Source organism: Homo sapiens, chromosome 3 (assembly GCF_000001405.40).
Source record: "Homo sapiens chromosome 3, GRCh38.p14 Primary Assembly".
Classification (NCBI taxonomy): domain Eukaryota; kingdom Metazoa; phylum Chordata; class Mammalia; order Primates; family Hominidae; genus Homo; species Homo sapiens.
In genome coordinates this window covers 109663967-109684098 of record NC_000003.12, presented here as the reverse complement: position 1 = coordinate 109684098, position 20132 = coordinate 109663967, and the positions used below count along the sequence as shown (strand labels likewise).

The window sequence follows — 20132 nt, the reverse complement described above, 5'->3', positions numbered from 1 at the left end:
GACACTTAAGAATAGTGTGCTTTACTCACTTTATTATGCATATGCTAAAAGTCAATATTAAAATTTGGTTTAAAATCTGCTCTGAATCATTTGACCATGAACACATTGGCTAATATGCCACATCATAAAATACCACAGTGAAACATCACAGTGATACATCTAAATATGCCACCATCCTGACACTCTTCTTAAACTTATTCATCCTGGATATGCAGTGACCTTTATGTTTTTAAGGTGATATATTTTAAAAGAACATGAATTTTGAATTGTTTACTCAGTTTCAGTAACAGATATGCTCAGACTTGTCTGTGTTCTGAGATTTAGCTGCTGTTATCAGCAACATGTATTTACCAACAAACCAGGTGCAGAGATGCAATAACATGTACAGTATATGCCCACTAGTAATCATATCAGCCAGCAATAATGTAACCTGATGCAACAAATAGATTATTTCAAGTGGGGTAAAATTGAATTTTTATAAATGGAAGCCTACTAAAACTCCATTTTCAAGATTTATTTTTGCTAATTTCTCCATCCAAATCAGCAAAACAAGTAATTAATTAGCTGAAGCCACTTAAATATAATGTTTCTTAAAATATTTCTTTAATAAGATGTAGTGTCTGTTTTATAAGTTTCTCCCTCCTCTTCAATTTGCTTAAAACTACACCATAGGTCAACAAAAGAAAAACACAAGTTTTGATAATCTTTTGTCTTTTCTCTTTCTTTTATTTTTTTTAAGAGATGAGGTCTCGCTCTGTCACCTCGGCTGGAGTGCAGTGGCGCAATCATGGCTCACTGCAGTCTTGACCTCCCAGGATGAAGCTATCCTCCCACCTCAGTCTCCCCAATAGCTGGGACTACAGGCAAATGCCACCAGGCCTGGCTGATTTTTGTATTATTTGTAGACACAGGATCTCACCGTGTTGCCCAGGATGGTCTCCAACTCTTGAGTTCATGCAATCTACCCACCTCAGCCTCCAAAAGTGCTGGGATTTCAGGCATAAGCCACCACACCTGGCCTTTTGTTTTGTCTTTAAGTCTTTGGTAGTGAGTCAATGGAAGAACAGAAAGATCAAGTAATGAAATCATTTAAAGTCAGGCCCATCCAGCTTAAGTCAGATGCAATTTGTTAATATGAGGCTTACAAATCCTGGGTTTTATTAGAAAACGTTGATTACTAGAGGTTTAGGAGTCTGATGATCTTGTTAACAGCCTCCCTATGCTGACCGAGAACTTGGGGAAATTGCAGTCTCTTTTCAGACTACTTTTCAAGAAATTTCTCCCTGGTTGCTTTTCAGAACTAAATGGTTTCTTTGCTTGAAAAATTGAACAAACAACTGAATTCTGGCCTTGCAAAGTTCTCTTCTGTTTTCAGGTTGGTGGCATTTCGGCTACAGTATGTCATCTGCTTTTTGAGACTCTGATATCTCCCAGAACATCCTTGAAAATAAGATCACATATTTTTATAAAAAGGAATGATGTGTGATATTGAACCTGTTCTTGCTCATGCTAGATTAAAGGAAACCTGTTCAATAATTCATGATGACCTGATATGTATTAAAATTTCACTAAGTACAATATCATTTTGACTCTCTTTTAGAAAAAGAATATATTTTATTCCATATAAGGGCCAAAACATATTGTTATGTATTGACACTGAAATATAATAGGCAACTTTTACAATGCTAGGCACATAGGAAGTGCCTAATACATTATCATTGATTGACTGACATGTAAATGAACTGTGTGATTCTTTATGATCTTTCACAGATTGGGAAGCTCTGAAAACACATTACTTATTCAAAAAAGAACTGAAAGATCAGTCCCTGAATGAGCAGCTCTATTGTTCTGTCCAACTGTCTTTGGCCTAGGTGAGAGGATATTTAACTTAGATTTAACTGGTCTTCAGATGTGTCTACTTGAACTTCCATGTCACAAATGGAGCAGAAAGCAAGATATGCACAGAGCAGAAAAGACAAGTCAATATCTGACCTCCAAAATCAATTCAGGGAAACATTTTCAGTACTTAACTCTGTATTGTTCAAGTTCCTGTGCAAAGAAAATAAACTAGGCCTTCTCCTGGCTCTGTAGGAGGTCATAATGCATAGAGTTCTAGTCTCTAGAATAAATCTATCTATTGAAGAACAAGGTGATTGTAATACATTAGTAGTTCTCCCCTTATATCCAGGGTTTTGTTTTTTATAGTTTCAACTACTCATGGTCAACCAGAGTCTGGAAACAGGTGATTACAGTACAATAATGTATTTTGAGAGGGAGAAACAGACCACATTCACATAACTTTTATTACAGTATATTAATTGTTCTATTTTATTATTAGTTATTTTTGTTAATATCTTAACAGGCCTAATTCGTAAATTAAATTTTATCATAGTTTATGTATGTATAGAAAAAGACATCGCATATATAGAGTTTGGTACTATCCACGGATTCAAGAATTCACTAGGGATTTTGGACTGTTTCCCCACAGATAAGGGGAGACTACTGTACACAGTGTTCAAAGATGAATATCCCTTCAGGTTGAAGCTGAATGAATGCATATTTGGAGTGAACAGAGATAGAGATATGAGAGTACTTATTTATATATCCTGATCTAGAAAGCAGAAAGCTGTTGGACTGCTTTCTCTTCTTTCTTTTTTTTTTTTTTTTTTTGAGACAGGGTCTCATGGAGTGCAGTGGCACAATCACCGCTCACTGCAGCCTCAAACTCCTGGACTCAAGCAGTCCTCCTACCTCAGCCTTCTGAGTAGCTGGGACTACAGATGTGTGCCACCATGCCTGGCTAATTTTTTTATTTTTTTATAGACAGGATCCCACTTTGTTGTCCAGGCTGGTCTCGAACTCATGTGCTCAAGCAATCCTCTGGTCTTGGCCTCCCAAAGTGTTGGGATTACAGGCATGAACCACCATGTCCAGCTGGGCTTTTTTTTTTTAATATCATTTTGCTTGTGTTGGTTTTTGCCCTTTAATTTCAAGTTAGTCTTTATGCTCTACCAATGTTCAAGAGGTATTTTTCCGATAAGAAAGCTTGCTAATTCAATATTATTAGTTTATTTGAGTTTGATATACCATCTGTAGCATATTATAATGCTAATTTTTTTTCAAAGTTCAATTTACATACACTGGCCAAGGTCTTTGTGACTTCAGTAATGCTGACACCTTTGGGTAAATTGGAAAAGGATATAGAAAAAATCCTCTAAACATTGGCTTCCTGAAATTGAGTAAATTTCATGAATTATAAGTAGTTATTCCAATATTTGAATAGGTAACTACATAAATATTTCTGACTGTCTCACTGACACCATTAGTATTGAGTCAGTTGTGGTTCATCAGGAAAACAGAGACCACCCTGTGTATCATGGATCTTAAGGATGCACATAATAAAGAATTAGGGGTTTATACTTCTGTTGGAAAACAGAAGAACAGAGATAGAGAAGCTTCTACCAACATTTAGGGGTCCTGCCTCTGAAAGTCAAAGAAGTCATCTCAGCCTAAAGCACTGAAGTGGTTGGTTGAAGGTCTTATCTGGAAGTTGCTGCAATTCTCTGGTGTCTCTAGAAAGGTCTTATGAACAAACTCGGACTAAAACCACTAAACTGGTGGTTCTCAAGCACTCACCTCTGACCACACATCTGGCTGCAACCATATCCAGAGAATAATTATTTTCTTCCAAGTTTCTTTCATTGGCAAATTCAAACCCAGGACTACTCAGGGAAGGGGATTCTGGGATATACAGTTCCCAGTTTCTTTGCTGAAATGTAGAGGAGACTTTGGTTCCCATCTAAAAGAGTGTTGGGTGCACAATGGACCTCAGGTGATCCTGCGGAAGAGCTCCCAATTTGTGCATCACTTTCTAAAATAGTGCTCACAATAAGGTGTTATTACCTTAAAAGGACACTTGTGTTCCATTTAAAAGTTGGAAGAATTCTGTAAGAAAAAAGAAACGTGCGATATTTTAACCCTGGCTTGGAAATTAATAATGAACAATAGCACAGAAAAGGCAGTAAAGAGCTAGCAGAAAACAAAACAAAACGTGTATTTATTTAATCCAACATTTCCACACTTTCTGGATGAAGGAACGCTTATGTATGTTCTGCAGCGCTTGCTAACAACATTCCACAGTACACTTTTATATAAACCCTATTCTAGAGGATGCTTTTGGCATGCTTCAAGGTTACTGAACAAATCTACAGTTAAATGAAATATGCTGACTAAATGTATTTATCTCTTCTTCCTCCTGGCACTCTACTGAAATCACAGTATTAGGATCACTAAGGCATAAACCCCCAATACAAAAGAAATCAGAAAAAAACATCAGAGATGACAGACTTCAGCAGTTCTGAACGATAGATAATACATGTAAAATTAGTAACTGAGGAAATGCCCTTTAAAATATTTAACAACCAGGATGACCTGGGCACCAGCCAGTCAGAAGAGAAATCAGAAGAGTTTAAAGCTGAGCCTTGGAGGCTCACTGATGGGTCAAATATTAACCCACTCATCAGTGGTTCGATGGTGGGGAGTTGAAGGCTGAGTTTGAAGCTAAAGACTATTTTTTAGGCTCAGAGGATGTGATCTCTATTTTCATTGCTATGCTCTTAATCCTTTATTTCTTTTTCTTTTAAAAAAGACCCCACTTTACTCAGGATTCTTGACTTTAGTTTGAACACATAAGACAAAAAGTAACATTGCTATTAATGATCTTTAAAGATCATTAGAATTGAATACTTGGCATTTTCTTGGTGCTGATTCACAATAAATTAAAGACATTATTAGATTCTCTAGTTGCTTGTTGAAGGACAACAAAGGTGAAGGGTTAAGTGAGGTGTTAGTCAAAAGTTAAATTACTTTGCTATTCTCTGTATTCAAGATACTAATTTTTATCTCAACAACTATGCTAATTCTATTTACAAAAGACAATGGTTTTCTCTCTTTTCTCTGACTTTTTAAATTTTATTCTTCCTTCATGAACAAATTTAAATTCTATTTTATTTGTAAAAGCTTTTCCACTAATTCTTAGCCATATTGACCTTTCATTATTCTGCCATGCTACAGTGCTTACTTTCTGTGTCACACATTTTGGCTTATAACAAAGATGATCTTGAGCTATTATCTATGCTTTTCATCTGATGAACCAGTTCACCTGTGAGATTGTGAACTCCTTGAGAGAGAGAATATGTCTTGTCAAAAATATTTACTGGTGTATTAATCAGGTCCAACCAGAGAAACAGAACTAGAAGGAGATATATTTATTACAAGGAACTGGCTAGTACAATTGCAGGGACTGGCCAAGTAAGTTCAAAGTCCATAGGCAGAAGACAAGCTGGCTGGAACCACACAAGGCATGAACTGAAGCTTCCTGTTCACAGGTAATGGTCAGAAAGAAAGATCCACAGAGAAGGGAGAACAACTACAGACCCAGCAGCTATCTGGAGTCCTTGACTTAGGAAAAGCCTAAGTCCTCTTCTAAAAGCTTTCCAAATAATTCAGATTCACCCTGAATAATCTTCTTCTTCATTAACTTAAAGTCTGATTAGAAACTTTAATCACATCTGCAAAATATCTTCACAGCAGTGTCTAGATTCGTATTTTAATAACTGGAAGAAGTTATATGTACGTTACAAAATGACCATTGCCTCTCTATTTTCTCATGAGAGAATAACCTTTGTAACCTGCCCTAGCCAGACACATATAGGGAATCCTGGGGACTATAGTTCAGCCCAGTCAAACTAACAAGTCAAAAATCTATCACACTAAGCATCTAGTATATAGGAAATAGAGAACGTTTTTGCTGCCCTTAAAGAAGAAATAAAGTCCTATATAGTTATTGACTATCTCCCCAAATGCCTGGCTCTATGCTAGATATGTAACAGGTACACAATAAATACCTAAAGAAATAGGTGGCCTTGGCTAATTTCTACCCAATTTGATTTTGATTGATTTGAGTACTAAACAGGTTGATGAGTACATTGTTTTGTCTGCATAAAATGATTAATGGGAAGAAATAGTTGAGTTAATGGCAGCACTGTGTTTCCTCTCATTTAGTTCTGTTAAGAAGCACATGCTAAATGGTAATTTTTGAAAATAGCACAAAATGCCTTTATTATGTTTGATAGAGCATTTATTCAGCAAACCATTGCAAATTCACAGCACAAGCCAGCAATAAGAATTATCAAAATAACTGAAGAAATACTGATAACCCATCCTCAAGGTAGCACTGTTTACTCATTCATTTAATAAATATTAATCAAGTGCCTTCTATGTGCTGTCATGGTTCCATGTGCTGGTGATACAGTTGAGGACAAAACAGTTTCTACACACATAGAGCTTGTTATGTGGGAGGTGACAAAAAATTTAAAAATGAACAATTTAATATATAAAATGTCAGTTAATCAGAGCAGATTCAATAACTTAGGGACTGAAATTTACACAATTTTAATGGTCTTGAGTTAAAGAAAAATAAATCATAAAATCAATGAATACTAACAAATGAATTAGATTGAATTAGATATATGCACTAATACTTACGTAGAGTGGGAAAATAAATTATAAATTTTACAAACCTGATGTGATGATTAATTATTGGTGCCAACTTGACTGGGCTAAGGGACGCCCTGAGAGTTGGTAAAACACTCTTTTTGGATATATCTATGAAGGTGTTTTTGGAAAAGATTAGCATTTGAATAGCTAACTTCAGCAAAAAAGATCTATCCTCATCAATGTGAGTAGATGTCATTCAATCCCTTGAGGGCCCAGATAGAAGACAAAGGCAAAAAAAGGAAAAATTTACTTTCTCTCTTCTGGAGCTGGAGCATCCATCTTTTCCTGACCTTGGACACGAGAATTCTAGATTCTCAGGCCTTTGGACTCCAGGACCTAATATCAGTGACCCCTTCGGTTCTCAGGCCTTTGACAATGGACTCATAATTCTAACATCAGCTCCTCAAGTTCTCAGGCCTTTAGACTAAGATTGGATCACACCACCAGCTTCCCCGGTAATTTTTTATGTCTGGTGGAAAAAAATTGTTTCCCATAGATTCACTTCTGGCGTTTTATGCTTCAAACCTTGTTTCTTCCCCACTACCCTCATAATTCCTACACCAGGCACTGTGAACACACTCCAATTGTCCTAAGACTTCTGGCCCTGCCCCTATAATCCAAAATGTCCAGTGTATCCCCAACTCAACTTCCCCTTGGTTAGACCTTAACAATGCCTGCTGCTATTCCAATACCACCTGGAAAGAAGGGAAATATGATACATGATTATTGTTTAGAAAATAAACTTACTTTTATAATTTTTTATAAAAATGTATGGCCAAATGAGAAGCCCAGAATAAATAAAGGCCAAAGTTTGTAGGACAGTTTAGCAGAAAATTTACTCTGTTATCTAAAATTTTTATTGATTTATGCTGTAATATCCCCCAATTCTTCCCTGAGTACTGCTCATTTTATTGATCTTCATCTGTAAAATAATTGCTTGCAGTATATTGTTGAATCCTGTACTGCCAGACTTTTTATATGGTGGGATGCCTACTGGGTTAAGTCAGTGTCAAATCCAGGAAATTCACATCATTAGTACCTTTGAGTAGAGTAACGTATTTGAAATATTAAGTCATGTGTAAAACACTATCATGCATTTTTTCCATTTTGCTTCCCCATGCCACACTAGCTCAGGTGCCCTGTCTTCTTCCATACTGACTGAGAATAGCTATATTTTGTGAGGGCTATGGCAGAGTCAAATGGGGGGAAATAAAGTATCTTCCTAGCTTTGCTTTCCAAAAGCCTAAAGTCCTAAGATGACCTGGTGAACTGAGACTACTCCTAACCTCAGAAATGAGAGAAATAATAAAAGAGAGTGGTGCCTTGAGTCCCTAGACAGAAAAGACTCCCCCACTAAAGAAGGGAGAGAGAGATGGAGGAGACATAGTGAGGGCGTAGGTATCAGAGATGAGGGCTGAACAGGTGTGGAAGGGTGACATGGGGCTCCCATTTATGGGCTCTGTGTCCTGTTTCTAGGCAAAGCCCTGGAGTGTCACCAAGATTGCAGACAAAAAACATGAATAGAGAATCTAGGCAGTTGGGTGTCAGCACCATGGTGATTTCAGTGCCTCCACCCAGCATGGGATCCCATGACCACACAGACCACTCATGAAGCCACACAAACAGAAGTGAGGGATGTCAGGGGTGACATGTGTGAACTGAGAACTAGATAGGATGGACGCCAAAGCAGATATTTGTGAAGATAAATGGCAAGTAGAGTCCACTCAGCTAAGAAGGAGTAGAGAGGATTCTTCAACTGAACAGGATTAAATGATGAAAAACTAAAAATAGCCATCAAATCCAGGCACAAAATAAAGAACTGTAACCGGAATTATAAAAAATTTTAAATAGAATTAATAATTAAATAAGAATAATTTTCAAAGAATTACATGTATATGTATGTGTACAACAAAAACACACACACATGCATATCTTGCAGAGCATATTTCATACACCTGGTTATTAGAGCCCAAGCCATTCTGTTGGAGGCATTCAAAAAATGGCTTTTTCTAAGAAAAATCAAAGAATGTACTAATGAGAAAAGTCTCAAAATTCTCAAGAAAATTCTGTATGACTTTCAGTAACTCAGATAAGTTTTTAGTCATGGAGAAAGACACTAACATTAACATATTCTGGGTCTTTTTCTACTATTATTTATATTTCACACATTAAGTAGGATAGATGTGTTTAAGTATTAATCTATGACCTGTATTATAAAAGCTGTGTCTTCATTACAAACACCTAACTTTAAAATTGTCATTAACAAACTAGTCAGGTTTTTGAAATTATCTGACATAAACATAATAAGAACCTTTAGGTTGACTGTAAATATATTAGCTATATTAGAGATTAAATATGGCTATTTTTATGAGGTCTATAATATTTAGTCCTTAACTTTGAAAAAGTTTTATAGAACATTAGAACATCATCTTCAAATTGGCAAATATGATAGGTCACTAACTGAACATGTCTAATTTGGCTAATAAAGGAATATATTGTTCATTTTTTCAGAATGATAGTTACTATTTCAGACCAATTAGATGTACTTACTATTCTCTTCCTCCCCTCCAATATATTGTCCCCACAGACCCTTATTTAGGAGAGGTTTGCTGAGGGAAATATTTACACCTAAGATCGTAAGGGTACAAGTATACACAATTGAAAATTGTTGCCAGGCGCGGTGGCTCACGCCTGTAATCCCAGCACTTTGGGAGGTCGAGGTGGGCAGATCACGAGGTCAGGAGATCAAGACCATCCTGGCTAACACGGTGAAACCCCGTCTCTACTAAAAATACAAAAAATTAGCCGGGCGTGGTAGTGGCGCCTGTATTCCCAGCTACTCAGGAGGCTGAGACTGGAGAATGGCGTGAACCCGGGAGATGGAGCTTGCAGAGAACCGAGATCGCGCCACTGCACTCCAGCCTGAGCGACAGAGCGAAACTCCGTCTCAAAAAAAAAAAAAAGGAAAGGAAAAAAAGAACAGTGTTTTATTTTTTTCTGACCTATTTATTTTTATTTTAAGTTTTAGGGTACATGTGCAGGATGTGTGCAGATTTGTTACATAGGTAAATGTGTGCCATGGTGGTTCGCTGCACCTATCTACCTGAAAATTGTTAAATTTGAATAACAATAGTCAAGAGTACAGTAGAAAATCTCAGTTTGGAAAAGTTTACAATTTTAGTTTGTAGTCACCCAAAACCTCAATATTATTTAAAATGCAGTCGTAGGATGCTAAGTAGAGAATTGGGAATAAGAAAAAAGCACGGTAAGTAAAAAATTCATGGACTTTCCTCTTCTTTATTCTACTATATTGTCTCTTTTCATGTGCCTCTTTAGCCACCTGGATTGCTTCAGGGCTTCCTGTTCTTTGAATTATGACAGAGAATTATTCACCCTCCAGCAGCCGACCCTGGAAATAGATGCATTGGAGAAGGGTCCAAGGAGCGGAAAACTGGGCTACTTGCCTCTAGCAAATAACGTTTTGTAAGAATCCAAATTTGCACCAGACTGGGAGAGGGGATAAGGCTGGGTGGAGAGATTAGGGGCTGAGATTTGAGGGCTGTACATAAACTGTAATTCGAAGTTAAATCTCATTATCATTTTCAAGGTCTAATAAAGCAGAGGAAGAAAATGTGAACTAAATTACTCATTAAATTCTCCCAGAGAATCAAGTGTGGCTCTCCTGCAAAGTTCCTACTCTCTAAAATTTTATGTCAAATATAAACACAAAAATAAATACAAGGTAAGGGAATTATTTTCTTTTAACATAGTAAAGACTAAAAGAAACTATCAGACAGGCTGTCAATGACAAACAGTGCACAAAACATGCCGGCAAAGCAACTGATAGTCACACACATAACACTTCCTCATTTAGACATTCAACAAATATTTTTAAGCACTGACTGCTAGAATGCAATGATAAATAAGAAAGATGACGTCCTTAATTTTCATTAAATGTATAGTTGAATCTATGCGTGTGTGTGTATGTTTTGGAGGAGAGCAGAGATTAATCAAATAATTTAATCATTCATTTAACTAATATTTATCAAATGGCTACAATATTCCAGGTTTGTTCTACATATTGACAATATACAAAGTTCCTGTCCCTGTGATGGCTTACATTCTAATGAGGGAGACTATAAGTGAACAAATAAATTTTTAAGATAATGGTAAATCCTATCGAGGAAAAAAAAAAAAAGAAGCAAGGGAGATTGTGTGAGTTATGTGTGAGTGCATCCTATCGACGATTTTAAGGTTTAGTCGTTTAGAACAGGCCCCTCTGGGGAGACGACATTTTAGCAGAAACCTGAATAAAGTGAGGATATGAGCCATGAGAATACTTAAGAATAAAACATTTTAAGAAGAGAGAATTTCAAGAGCACAGGCCCTGAGCTGGAAATGTGCTTGCATGTTTAAGCAATAGCAGGAATGCCAAATTTATTGAGCACACTATATACTGAGCTCTATGTGCCAGGGATCAAAGATCCACACGAGTGAAAGCAAGTCCTAGCCATCAAGGTGTATATTCTTCAAGGATTACAACAGAAACAGATACAAATTTCCCCCACCCAGCCATCTCTGGATAGTTGGAAACATTTTCTCAGAAAGTCTCTGATAAAGTTAACATGTTGAACGAATATTGTATAAGAAATCAAAATCTGAAGAACTGAGCCAGTTCTAAAGGAAAGCCATGACCATTGTAGGCAGAAGTGTTCTAGATATGAATGTCATCAGCAGGAGAAATGTAGAGGGGCATGGAAAGGAGGGGGGAGAACATATGCACTTATAGAAAATATATGATGAATAAAATGGCACTACCACCTCCACTAGGAAGTAAATAAACAGCAGCAAAGTCAGTTAAAATGGTGTCATGTAAACACTAGTGCTTCATTACCTAAATATCACACCCAAATGTTTATACAGGTAACTTCATTGTCAATGACTGGTGTCAGTTAATGGGACTATTAAGACAAAAATGTTTTTAAAAATTCCCAAGATTTCTGTTATTAGCAACCTAAAACATACAGTTTTATGTTGAAATATACCAGCTTTAGGTATTTTAGATAATTTTATTAGAAATTATTCTACTTTTGGCCAGATGCAGTAGCTCATGTCTGTAGTCCCAGGGCTTTGGTAGGCCTAGACAGGAGGGGGTAGCTTGAAGCCAGGAATTTGAGACTAGCTTGAACAACATAGTGAGACCTCATCTCTCCAAAAAAAATAATAATAAAATCAAAAAAGTTAGCTGGGCATGGCGATGAACACCTGTAGTCCTAGCAACTCAGGAGGCTGAGATGGGAGGATTGCTTGAGCCTAGGAGGTGGAGTCTGCAGTGAGCCAGGATTGTGCCACTGCACTCCAGCCTGGGCACCAGAGTGAGACCATGTCTAAAATCTGTGAGATCCTGTTTCAAAAAGGAAATAATAAAAGAAATTATTCTACATTCGAGCTAGCCAAGTAATCTATCACCTTCCAAGAAAATTGAAGGTTTTTGAAGATTGTCATAAATAATCGATTCCTTGATCAACGGGTACATATACCTTTGCCATATCCATGTACAAAAATACAACAGAATATGTTAAAAAGTTGTGATATAAAGGGAATGACGATGCTGAGGTTATTCATCCCTTTTATTTCTAGGATACCTGAAATTACTAGGGCAAGATTTTGTGCAAAGGCAATAGAACCGAGGAGAGTGGATACAAATTTGAATAAATTTTCTGTTAACATTATTACATCAGTTTTAAAAATTAAACTGTAGATAATTTATAATAGCCTTAGATGTTTTTCTTTATTAGTTAGGGCAAATTAAATTTCAATGCATCTGGGATTTCTTAGAATTAAAAGTTAGTATATTCTGAAACAGCCATTTCTAACAAACAGTCGACACAGAACTGTAGCTACAGAAACCCACTACGTAGGTTAGGAATTTAATTAAACTGCAACAAAGCCAAGGGCAAGAATCGCAAATTCATACTTTCTGAACTTTACAGATTTACACCAATCTAGCCTTTTAAATTAACATTGGCACATTATCCAATGCATAAGAAATCCATCAACTGCCTATGTCTGTCTTTATATCCAGTACGTAGCCATAGGAAGAAAAATCAAAATCAAATGTTAAGTACCTACTATATGCTAACTTCTCTGTAAGGTGTTCTATGGGTTCTTTGCCTCTTAAAGATGTATAACAAAACAGCTTCCAAAAATGATTTTTGACACATTTGTTCTTCACCTGCTGTTCTAACTTAAGCTATCAGAAATAATACCCCAAAAGAGAGAGTAAACCTGAAACATCATGATCCTAATCATCTACTCTTATACCTTGCAACTGAAAGCAAATAGCCTGTTAGGGGCAAATGAAATTTCTTCTGTGCAGACAAGAACCCTACACCTAAATATGTAACTTTCTTAGACACATTTATATAATCAAGTTAAAAAAATATAAACGATTATGACAGAATCCACTATTTATATCTGGCATTTTTGTTTATGAATGTATATAAGCAATTCTCATGTATACAGGTAGACTCATACCTTTAACTTTATTCATTCAGAATATTAAATCATAGAATTGTTCTCCATCTAAATCCCTTTTATTATTATTATACTTCAAGTTCTAGGCTACATGTGCACAATGTGCAGGTTTGTTACATATGTGTACATGTGCCGTGTTGGTTTGCTGCAAACATTAACTTCTCATTTGCATTAGGTATTTCTCCTAATGCTATCCCTCCCGCATCCCCTCACCCCACGACAGACCCTGGTGTGTGAGGTCCCCGGCCCTGTGTCCAAGTGTTCTCATTGTTCAATTCCCACCTATGAGTGAGAATATGCGGTGTTTGGTTTTCTGTCCTTGCAATAATTTACTCAGAATGACACTTTCCAGCTGCATCCATGTTGCTACAAAGGACATGAACTCATCCTTTTTAATGGCTGCATAGTATTCCATGGTGTATATGTGCCACATTTTCTTCATCCAGTCTATCATTGATGGACATTTGGGTTGGTTCCAAGTCTTTGCTATTGTTAACAGTGCCTCAATAAATATACATGTGCCTGTGTCTTTATAGTAGCATGATTTATAATCCTTTGGGTATATACCAAGTAATGGGATCGCTGGGTCAAATGGTATTTCTAGTTCTAGATCCCTGAGGAATCGCCACACTGTCTTCCACAATGGTTGAACTAGGTTACACTCCCACCAACAGTGTAAAAGCATTCCTATTTCTCCACATCCTCTCCAGCACCTGTTGTTTCCTGACTTTTTAATGATCGCCATTCTAACTGGTGGGAGATGGTATCTCATTGTGGTTTTGATTTGCATTTCTCTGAGGACCAGTGATAATGAGCATTTTTTCATGTGTCTGTTGGCTGCATAAATGTCTTCTTTTGAAAAGTGTCTGTTCATATCCTTTGCCCACTTTTTGAAGGGGTTGTTTTTTTCTTGTAAATTTGTTGGAGTTCATTGTAGATTCTGGATATTAGCCCTTTGTCAGATGAGTAGACTGCAAAAATTGTCTCCCATTCTGTAGGTTGCCTGTTCACTCTGATGGTAGTTTCTTTTGCTGCGCAGAAGCTCTTTAGTTTAATTAGATCCCATTTGTCAATTTTGGCTTTTGTTGCCATTACTTTTGGTGTTTTAGTCATGAAGTCCTTGCCCATGCCTATGTCCTGAATGGTATTGCCTAGGTTTTCTTCTAGGGTTTTTATGGTTTTAGGTCTAACACGTAAGTCTTTAATCCATCTTGAATTAATTTTTGTATAAGGTGTAAGGAAGGGATCCAGTTTCAGCTTTCTACATATGGCTAGCCAATTTTCCCAGCACCATTTATTAAAGAGGGAATCTTTTCCCCGTTTCTTGTTTTTGTCAAGTTTGTCAAAAATCAAATGGTTGTAGATGTGTGGTGTTATTTCACAACTGTTCTGTTCCATTGGTCTATATCTCTGTTTTGGTACCAGTACCATGCTGTTTTGGTTACTGTACCCTTGTAGTATAGTTTGAAGTCAGGTAGTGTGATGCCACCAGCTTTGCTCTTTTGGCTTAGGACTGTCTTGGCAATGTGGGCTCTTTTTTGGTTGCATATGAACTTTAAAGTAGTTTTTTCCAATTCTGTGAAGAAAGTCATTGGTAGCTTGATGGGGATGGCATTGAATCTATAAATTACTTTGGGCAGTATGGCCATTTTCACGATATTGATTCTTCCTATCCATGAGCATGGACTATTCTTCCATTTGTTTGTGTCCTCTTTTATTTCGTTGAGCAGTGGTTTGTAGTTCTCCTTAAAGAGGTCCTTCACATCCCTTGTAAGTTGGATACCTAGGTATTTTATTCTCTTTGTAGCAATTGTGAATGTGAGTTCACTCATGATTTGGCTCTCTGTTTTTCTATTATTGGTGTATAAGACTGCTTGTGATTTTTGCACATTGATTTGTATCCTGAGACTTTGCTGAGAAGTTGCTGATCAGCTTAAGGAGATTTTGGGCTAAGATGATGGGGTTTTCTAAACATACAATCATGTCATCTGTAAACAGGGACAATTCGACTTCCTCTTTTCCTAACTGAATATACCTTTATTCTTTCTCTTGCCTAATTGCCCTGGCCAGAACTTCCAACACTATGTGGAATAGGAGTGGTGAGAGTGGGCATCCCGGTCTTGTGCCAGTTTTCAAAGAGAATGCTTCCAGTTTTTGCCCATTCAGTATGATACTGGCTGTGGCTTTGTCATAAATAGGTCTTATTATTTTGAGATACATTCCATCAATACCTAGTTTATTGAGAGTTTTTAGCATGAAGCGCTGTTGAATTTCGTCAAAGGCCTTTTCTGCATCTATTGAGAGAATCATGTGGTTTTTGTCTTTGGTTCTGTTTATGGGATGGATTACGTTTATTGATTTGCGTATGTTGAACCAGCCTTGCATCCCAGGGATGAAGCCAACTGGATCTTGGTGGATAAGCTTTTTGATGTGCTGCTGGATTCAATTTGCCAGTATTTTACTGAAGATTTTCACATTGATGTTCATCAGGGATATTGGTCTAAAATTATCTTTTTTTGTTGTGTCTCTGCCCGGCTTTGGTATTAGGATGTTGCTGGCCTCATAAAATGAGTTAGGAAGAATACCCTCTTTTTCTATTGCTTGGGATAGTTTCAGAAGGAATGGTACCAGCTGCTATTTGTACCTCTGGTAGAATTCAGCTGTGAATCCATCTACTGCTCTTTGTACCTCTGGTAGAATTCAGCTGTGAATCCATCTGGTCCTGGACTTTTTTTGGTTGGTAGGCTATTAATTATTGCCTCAATTTCAGAGCCTGTTATTGGTCTACTCATCAATTCAACTTCTTCCTGGTTTAGTCTTGGGAGGGTGTATGTGTCCAGGAATTTATCCATTTCTTCTAGATTTTCTAGTTTATTTGCATAGAGGTGTTTATACTGTTCTCTGATGGTAGTTTGTATTTCTGTGGGATCAGTGGTGACATCCCCTTTATCATTTTTTATTGCATCTATTTGATTCTTCTCTCTTTTCCTCTTTATTAGTCTAGCTAGCAGTCTATCAATTTTGTTGATCTTTTCAAAAAACCAGCTCCTGGATTCATTGATTTTTTGAAGGGTTTTTTGCATCTCTATCTCCTTCAGTTCTGCTCTGGTCTTAGTTATTTCTTGCCTTCTTCTAGCTTTTGAATTTGTTTGCTCTTGTTTCTCTAGTTCTTTTAATTGTGATGTTAGGGTGTCAAAATGTCGAAATTAGATCTTTCTTGCTTTCTCTTGTGGGCATTTAGTGCTATAAATTTCCCTCTACACACTGCTTTAAATGTGTCCAAGAGATTCTGGTACATTGTGTCTTTGTTCTCACTGGTTTCAAAGAACATCTTTATTTCTGCCTTCATTTTGTTATGTACCCAGTAGTCATTCAGGAGCAGGTTGTTTAGTTTTCATGTAGTTGTGCAGTTTTGAGTGAGTTTCTTAATCCTGAGTTATAGTTTGATTGCACTGTGGTCTGAGAGACACTTTGTTGTGATTTCTCTTCTTTTACATTTGCTGAGGAGTGCTTTAATTCCAACTATGTGGTCAGTTTTGGAGTAAGTGTGATGTGGTGCTGAGAAGAATGTATATTCTGTTGATTTGGGGTGGAGAGGTCTGTAGATGTCTATTAGGTCTTCTTGGTGCAGAGCTGTGTTCAAGTCCTGGATATCCTTGTTAACCTTCTGTCTCATTGATATATCTAATATTGACAGTGGGGTGTTAAAGTCTCCCATGATATTTCTGTGGGAGTCTAAGTCTCTTTGTAGGTCTCTAAGGACTTGTTTTATGAATCTGGGTGCTCCTATATTGGGTGCATATAGATTTAGGATAGTTAGCTCTTCCTGTTGATTTGATCCCTTTACCATTATGTAATGGCCTTCTTTCTCTCTTTTGATCTTTGTTGGTTAAAAGTCTGTTTTATCAGAGACTAAGATTGCAACCCCTCCTTTTTTTTTGCTTTCCGTTTGCTTCGTCGATCTTCCTCCATCCCTTTATTTTGAGCCTAAGTGTGTCTCTGCACGTGAGATGGGACTCCTGAATACAGCACACTGATGGGTCTTAACTCGTTATCCAATTTGCCAGTCTGTGTCTTTTAACTGGGGCATTTAGCCCATTTACATTTAAGGTTAATACTGTTATGTGTGAATTTGATCCTGTCGTTATGATGTTAGCTGGTTATTTTGTCCATTAGTTGATGCAGTTCCTTCCTAGCATCAATGGTCTTTACAATTTGGCATGTTTTTGCAGTGGCTGGTACCGGTTTTTCCTTTCCATGTTTAGTGCTTCCTTCAGGAGCTCTTGTAAGGCAGGCCTGGTGGTGACAAAATCTCTCAGCATTTGCTTGTCTGTAGAGGATTTTATTTCTCCTTCACTTATGAAGCTTAGTTTGGCTGGATATGAAATTCTGGGTTGAAAATACTTTTCTTTAAGAATGTTTAATATTGGCCCCCACTCTCTTCTGGCTTGTAGGGTTTCTGCCAAGGGATCCACTGTTAGTTTGATGGGCTTCCCTTTGTGGGTAACCTGACCTTTCTCTCTGGCTGCCTTTAGCATTTTTTCCTTCATTTCAACCTTGGTGAATCTGACAATTATATGTCTTGGAGTTGCTCTTCTCAAAGATTATCTTTGTCATGTTCTCTGAATTTCCTGCATCTGAATGTTGGCCTGCCTTGCTAGGTTGGGGAAGTTCTCCTGGATAATATCCTGAAGAGTGTTTTCCAGCTTGGTTCCATTCTCCCTGTCACTTTCAGGTACACCAGTCAAATGTAGATTTGGTCTTTTCACATAGTCCCATATTTCTTGGAGGCTTTGTTCATTTCTTTTTACTCTTTTTTCTCCAAACTTCTCTTCTCACTTCTTTTCATTAATTTGATCTTCAATCACTGATACTCTTTCTTCCACTTGATCAAATCGGCTACTGAAGCTTGTGCATGTGTCGCGTAGTTCTTGTGCCATGGTTTTCATCTCTGTTAGGTCATTTATGGTCTTCTCTACACTGTTTATTCTAGTTAGCCATTCATCTAATCTTTCTTCAAGGTTTTTAGTTTCCTTGCAATGGGTTCGAACATCCTCCTTTAGCTCGGAGAAATTTGTTATTACCGATTTTCTGAAGCCTACTTCTGTCAACTCATCAAAGTCATTCTCCGTCCTGCTTTGCTCCGTTTCTGGCAAGGAGCTGTGATCCTTTGAAGGAGAAGGAGAGCTCTGGTTATTAGAATTTTCAGCTTTTCTGCTCTGGTTTCTCCCCACCTTTGTGGTTTTATCTACCTTTGGTCTTTGATGATGGTGACCTACAGATGGGGTTTTGGTGTGGATGTCCTTTTTACTGATGTTGATGCTATTCCTTTCTGTTTGTTAGTTTTCCTTCTAACAGTCAGGTCCCTCAGCTGCAGGTCTGTTGGAGTTTGCTGGAGGTCCACTCCAGACCCTGTTTGCCTGGGTATCACCAGCAGAGGCTGCAGAACAGCAAATATTGCAGAACAGCAAATATTGCTGTCTGATCCTTCTTCTGGAAGCTTCGTCTCAGAGGGGCACCCAGCTGTATGAGGTGTCAGGCGTACCCTACTGAGAGATGTCTCCAAGTTAGACTACATAGGGGCAGGGACCCACTTGAGGAGGCAGTCTGTCCATTCTCAGAGCTCAAACACCATGCTGGAGAACCACTGCTCCCTTCAGAGCTGTCAGACAGGGACGTTTAAGTCTGCAGAAGTTTCTGCTATCTTTGTTCAGCTATGCCCTGCCCCTTGAGTTGCAGTCTACAGAGGCAGGCGGGCCTCATTGAGCTGCAGTGTGCTCCACCCAGTTTGAGCTTCCTGGCTGCTTTGTTTACCTACTCAAGCCTCCGCAATGGTGGACGCCCCTTCTGCAGCCAGGCTTGACACCTTGCTGTTCGATCTCGGACTAGCAGTGAGCAAGGCTCCGTGGGCGTGGGACCCACTGAGCCAGGCGTGGGATATAATCTCCTGGCGTGTGGTTTGCTCAGACCATTGGAAAAATGCAGTGTTTACGTGGCAGCGTCCTGATTTTCCCAGTACAGTCTGTCACTGCTTCCCTTGGCTAGGAAAGGGAAATCCCCCAACCCCTTGCACCTCCCGGGTGAGGCAATGCCCCGCCCTGCTTCAGCACACCCTCTGTGGGCTGCACCCACTTTCCAACCAGTCCCAGTGAGATGAACCAGGTACCTCAGTTGGAAATGCAGAAATCACCTGTCTTTTGCTTTGATCATGCTGCGAACTGCAGACTGGAGCTGTTCCTATCTGGCCATCTTGGAACTGACTCCCATCTAAATCTCTTTTTATACAAAAATGGTGTGACTGAAGAATGGTAAGAAAACTCACATCATTTACACTAGAGATAATCCAGAGATGTAATATGAAATTAAGAGACTCCTGGGAAATTTTTGAAGATTTCACTGAAGAGGTATAGGTTTTGATGGATTCTAAACCACTCTTTTCCCCTTCTTTTTGAATAATTATATATCTATCAACTGAAAGTGAATTATAAAATGTCATTTGATCAGCTGGTTAACATGATGAAGTCAACCCCAAGTCCAGGTACTCCTGCTATGAAATGAATAGTCAGGTTTCTCTAAGAACAGTAAAGAATATGAATGTAACACACAAAATAATTCCATTATAAAAGTGCTCTTCCAGTAAGCATAAAGGCAATGCTTATAGGTCAAATTATATTTTCACTTTAAATAATAAAATTGAAGATGTATTTTTGAAGTGCAAATACAAACGAAGAACATGATCTTTAAAATGTCTTATTTTTTACTTTGTCCTTTAAAGTGTTTGTTCTCTTTGAAGCAACAATTCAATTTTTAGAAATCTATTCTAAGAAAATAATTAGAATTTTACCCAAGCAAGAGTTTTTATCACAGCATTATTTATAAGAATAAAATTACATAAACAGCCTACATGCCTGCCACTAAAAGAAGAATTTTAAATAATGGCAAATCCATATAATGAAATGTATTTATTCTTTAAAAATTATGTTTTCAAACAATTTTTAATACCTTAGAAAATGTTCATGATATAATGCTAAATGAAA

The 20132-nt window shown here is 37.6% G+C and overlaps 1 long non-coding RNA gene across 2 annotated transcripts in view; it reads right to left on the bottom strand.

Annotated features, from left to right (window-relative positions):
• Nucleotides 1-20132, bottom strand: part of LOC124906267 (uncharacterized) — a 188134-nt gene that overhangs the window by 152059 nt on the left and 15943 nt on the right. Inside the window, exons 2-3 of one of the 2 annotated variants that reach the window (XR_007096001.1) lie at nucleotides 3904-3945; nucleotides 249-1440 (exon numbers count right to left, since the gene is read on the bottom strand). This is a non-coding gene — a long non-coding RNA (uncharacterized LOC124906267). Of the gene's footprint in view, nucleotides 1-248; nucleotides 1441-3903; nucleotides 3946-20132 lie in introns of those variants that run through there. The other variant, XR_007096002.1, reaches the window with a different exon arrangement.